Source organism: Homo sapiens, chromosome 12 (assembly GCF_000001405.40).
Source record: "Homo sapiens chromosome 12, GRCh38.p14 Primary Assembly".
Taxonomy (NCBI): domain Eukaryota; kingdom Metazoa; phylum Chordata; class Mammalia; order Primates; family Hominidae; genus Homo; species Homo sapiens.
In genome coordinates, this window is record NC_000012.12 from 19115136 (window position 1) to 19120487 (window position 5352).

A 5352-nucleotide genomic window follows, 5' to 3' on the forward strand; every position below is an offset into this window, starting at 1 on the left:
GTTCCACCTTCCCTACAACCTCTATAGAAATGGGTATATTTCCCCCTCAAGTTCTTTTTCTACACCCAGTACTTAAGGAATTGTGTCTTATAACTGTTTCCCTAATTGCTAATAGTGTCTGCCACATAGTCCGTGTTCAAGAAATATTTATTAAAGAGAATGAATGAATAATAAACATTCTTCTAAGCTAAACATGAAGTGGATACGGGGAAATAATAGAATGCAGAGGAAAAAAAAGGAAAACTAAACAAGGAATCAGGAGGCTGGCTCTGCTGCTAAGCTGTTGTATCACTAAGGGCAAATAATTTAACCCTGTCTGACCTCTTCTCAGAAATGGTTTCATGGGCATTCAACCTGAACAGCCACACAGGGCCCTGTACTCAGAGGGACCTGTGATTTACTTACTGCTCTGCTGTTGCCTTCTTGAAACCCTTAACAATTTTTGAGCAGGAAGCCCAACATTTTCATATTGCAGTGTGCACTGCAAATGATGTAGCTGATGCTGCCTCTACCTTAACTGTAAAGCAAGATAGTAGAGAAAATGAGGCCAATTCATGCCAAAGCAATTTGATTCTATGAGTTTTTCCTAAATTCAACCCAAGAGGCTACGATTTAGGTACATAAACATCTCGGAACAAGTTTGAGAGCCATTCTAATTGCTTGATGAAGATTCTTCATTCTGTGAAATACTTGGCCCTTTTCTTCAACCCATCTCTATCAAGTGGTCTCCTTCAGCCATTCCTTCTAATTCTGCTTCATAATTGCATTGGATTATAGTTACTCCTGCAGCACTGCAACCATTAACCTTTAAGTATGAAGGGACTGGAAAAGAGAAAGTTCCTTTTGATGACAAATTCTTCTGGTGTGAAAAGAAAGGCTTATCCAATACAGTTTACTATAATGAAGGTATTTTTTGAGCAGAAAAAAGAAAGACTTTGAAAGATCACTTCGAGCTTCTAAGCAAGTCATAGATAATCAGAATCTTAGTACAATGTGGTTCCTTTCTATTTTGTTTAACTGTTTGTAAAAGCAACTCATTTCCATCCCCAAATTAAGTATAATTTCATAGGGGACAGTTCTCATATACAACATTTAAGAAGGAAACAAACCCTGCTCCAAGTTTATTCTTGAGTAATCATTTCGAAAATAAGTAATGAACTATAGAGAAAAAAAACACAGCAAGCTGTCCAGAGATGGGAACTGCATGTAAATTACTACTAATCTCAAGATTACCTATCCTTCTTCTCTACTCTAGAAAAATGCCATCTTTATTTTAAAACATTGCTTTTTCTTTTTATTTATTTATTTATTATTTTATTTTATTTTTTTGAGACGGAGTCTTGCTCTTGTCACCCAGGCTGGAGTGCAATGGCGCGATCTCGGCTCACTGTAACCTCTACCTCCCGGGTTCAAGCAATTCTCCCTGCCTCAGCCTACCGAGTAGCTGGGATTACAGTCGCTCTCCACCACATCCAGCTAATTTTTGTATTTTTAGTAGCAACAAGGTTTTACCACGGTGGCCAAGCTGGTCTTGAACTCCTGACCTCAGGTGATCCGCCTGCCTCAGCCTCCCAAAGTGCTGGGATTACAGGTGTGAACCACCGTGCCCAGCCTTTTTTAAAACTTTTCTATCTGAGCAGGTCAAGCTATTTTAAGATGTTATCTGTTTCAACACACGCAATGAAATGTGGAGGGCAAACATGCTGCCATTTTACAGAGATAGAAAGTGAAAATAATCTGCACAAAAGTTGCATGAAGCTTAGATCTTTCTGTCTAATGATCTTGGCTCCATCTTGAAATGTTTAATAAAAACTCATGGCCAACTAATGGACTGAAACAATTTGGGAAGTTTTTAATGGTTTTTTTTAGTGTTTACTCTTTAGACTTCATTATATATAGAACAAACCATATGATTTAAATCTTCTTGACAATTTTGTCTTATTCCTAATCATTATTATTATTATTGTTATTTGAGACAGAGTCTCACTTGATCAGCCAGGCTGGAGTGCAGTGGTGTGATCTCGGCTCACTTGCAACCTCTGCCGCACAGGTTCAAGCAATTCTCTTTCCTCCGCCTCCTGAATAGCTGGGATTACATGCGCCTGCCACCATGCCCAGCTAATTTTTGTATTTTTAGTAGAGACGGGGTTTCACCATCTTGGCCAGGCTGGTCTTGAACTCCTGACCTCGTGATCCACCCGCTTCGGCCTCCCAAAGTGCTGGGATTATAGGCATCAACCACCACACCCAGCCAATCATTATTATTATTAATAGTACTTTTCTACAGAGTATGTGTTTGGGAGAATTTTGTTAATATTGGCGTTGTTGATATTCTGAGCCTCTCACTGAGAGCTGAGTAAACAGAATTTAATCACAATATATGTCTGTCAGTGCATAGTTGGCAAAGGTCCCTATTTGGTTCAAGTTTTCTGTCAAGTCTGCTTTCTGGTTGCAATAATATATTTGTAATGGGTAGTCTATAAATAGAGTAAAGTAGTAGGAACATTTGGAAGGTCAACTAACTTTTGACTGTTCAAGTTAAATTATCAAAGAAGTTGAGAGTCTAATTACCAGAATGATTTAAAGCAGCTTCTGTGTTTGCCTCTCTCTCAGGAAACAAGGTAAGCAATGAGAAAATCTGGTTTATCTAAGACTTACTGAGGCATATGGCCACTTTTATGTATGTGATTTTGAATGTGTGTGTGGGGATTCATACGTTCGTTCACTCATGCAAAAAAGATTATTGAACACCTGACATGTACCAGTAATTGTGCTAAGTCCTGGTGAACAAGATAGATATATCAGATAAGACTAAGTTTCACTGAGTGGCGACTGCCCTCCAAATAGCATTAGCTTAATCAAGATAGAATTTGATTTGTCTTTAATTTGTAAGTCTGAAGGAAGCAGTCCAGAGCAGTTATGTTGGCTCTGCTGCCTGAAGTCCTTAGGGACCCAGGCTGTATCCAGGTGTCTGCTCTGCCATTCCTAGGGTGTGGCCCTTGTCTTCATCATCCAAGACGGAGCTACACCCTTCCTATACACATTCCAAGCAGCAGGTAAGGAAGAAGGAAAGAAGCAGGACCAAGTTATTTGCCAACCATCATTTAAGGAAATTTTCCATAACCTGCCATACATTTCTGTTCTCATTTACCAGAACACAATCCTAGGGCTCACATCTAGGTACAGGGAGCCTGGGAAATATGTATTTTGTTCAGGCATCAGTGGGTTCGTTTAAAAATAAGTGGAGGTCTAATAAGGAAGAACTGATGTTAGCAATGTCTGCCATTCATTGCCCCAGACCTCTTCCTCTTGTATCTCATATCCTACCAGAACTGGAGGAGGAAGGAAGGAGGGCAGAATTAGCTTAAAATGTAATTTATGAATTTCAAGAAATACCTGTAAAGGTGATGATAGTTAACAACACAACTCAGGTGTCACTTTTTAGGAAGATTTTCCTAACCACCTCTCCGCACAGTCAAGGATGGATGCCCTTTTTACAAGCTTTTATCTTCCATCTCGTGCAGTACCTATCATGCCATTTATTGATGATACAATAATTGTCTATTTCTCTCTTCCCAACTGTTTCTCACATCAACTTAACTATAATGGCTTCAGTTAAAACCTGAATTTATATTTCTTTGTATCTCCAGTATCTCTCGCCTAATGTATAACATACATTAGATTCACAAAAAGTGTTTATTACTTAAATTGGTTGAAAAAATTGCAAACAAAAAATCTCTACTTAAATGTCATAAAGGTTTTGTAAAGTAATAGTATAGAGAGAACTTCTCCAGCTATCAAAATATTTAGCACCAAATTTTTTGCTTATGAACATAAAAGAATCTTTTATTTCCATCAATATTAAGACTATCATCTGATCTTCTGAACATGTTCAATATTGCTGGCAAACAGAATTACCTGCATTTTGTCAATGATGAATGTTAAGACAATTATAAATATTTTAAAATCATTCTTTTATCAAGGTTGTGAAAAAAAACTCTCATAAAATACTCTAAAAAAACACAAATAGTGAATCCTATCCACTTTATGTAAATGGTAAAGTTGGGCTCAGGGTGACAAAATTTGAAATAGAATAACACATTGACTCTCCAACCAATGTTATCTCCTCCACATAATCCTAGTGGGGCAGGCCTGAAGTGGACAGCAAGACTTTCACCAAAACAGTTCCCACACAGCTCAATCTCTCCTCTTCCCTCTGTTACCCCACATGGCATTGTAAAAAAAACAGAAATTTAAGCTGATATGATTCATTTTCTCAGCCCTTTTCAGTTTAAATCTGTTCACATTTCTTATTGTAGTTATTCATAACTTTTTCTTGATTTTCTTAGGTCGGACACATATGTTCTTCAGATCAGAAATTCAACTGATAAAGATACTTCTGAATTTACAACTGCTTGGTTTTAAGAAAAATGTATCCAAGACAGAGGAGTTTGTTCAAAAGTCTCCATTTTTTCCCCTAGCACTGTACACTGTTATTTTATGATTCATTCAGTTACCAAACATTTGTTGAATACAAACTATGCACAAGGCAAATGCTATGATAATGCGCAAATTTGCATTCGCATTAAATTTTCCTTAATTTGAGCTATAAAATACAATTAACTAAAGATATTGCATTATATATTATTATTTATATAATCCCACATGTAACTGGATCAAACATTGAATTGGAAATTGAGGGAAATTGGTTAAAATCAAATAAGTGTGTGTGTGTATAATTTTCTGTTAAAAGATATGAATTGTCAGATGGGAAAAAATTTCTTGCTTTAAGCAAGTACTGACCCAAAATATTAAATAAAAATAGTCCATTTAGAATCTACTTACAGAGTACTCATGCACTGTGTAAAATGCTAATGATGAGGGAGAAAATGAGTCTCCTTCACTCTTTCACTCATCTCTTGGGCTAAGGGCATGAGATCTGATAGCCATTGTCACTTACAGCTACACACATCTTCAGCAATTATAAATTTACACGTTTTTCCCTCCAGTTAATGTAGCTAAATTTTATTTTATCTTCTAAGTACTACACATTACTTTTATCAATACTACTTTCTCTAGGAAGAATTTGTACATAAATGAAGGACCATAGGTCCCTTAAATATATATCTATATTATATATATATAATATATATAAATATATTTATATAATGCTGAATTCCTTCTGTCCTTCAGTGTCTTACTCAAAATATCTATAAATCCTTAGTAATGTTTAAGCCAGGTAGACAGCTCTATGGAAAGCAGCTATTTTCATATACTGCTATGCTGCTCTTGGGCCCATGCCATTTTTTCTCTTCTATATGGGACAGTCTATAAAAAGCTGAACGGAGTGTT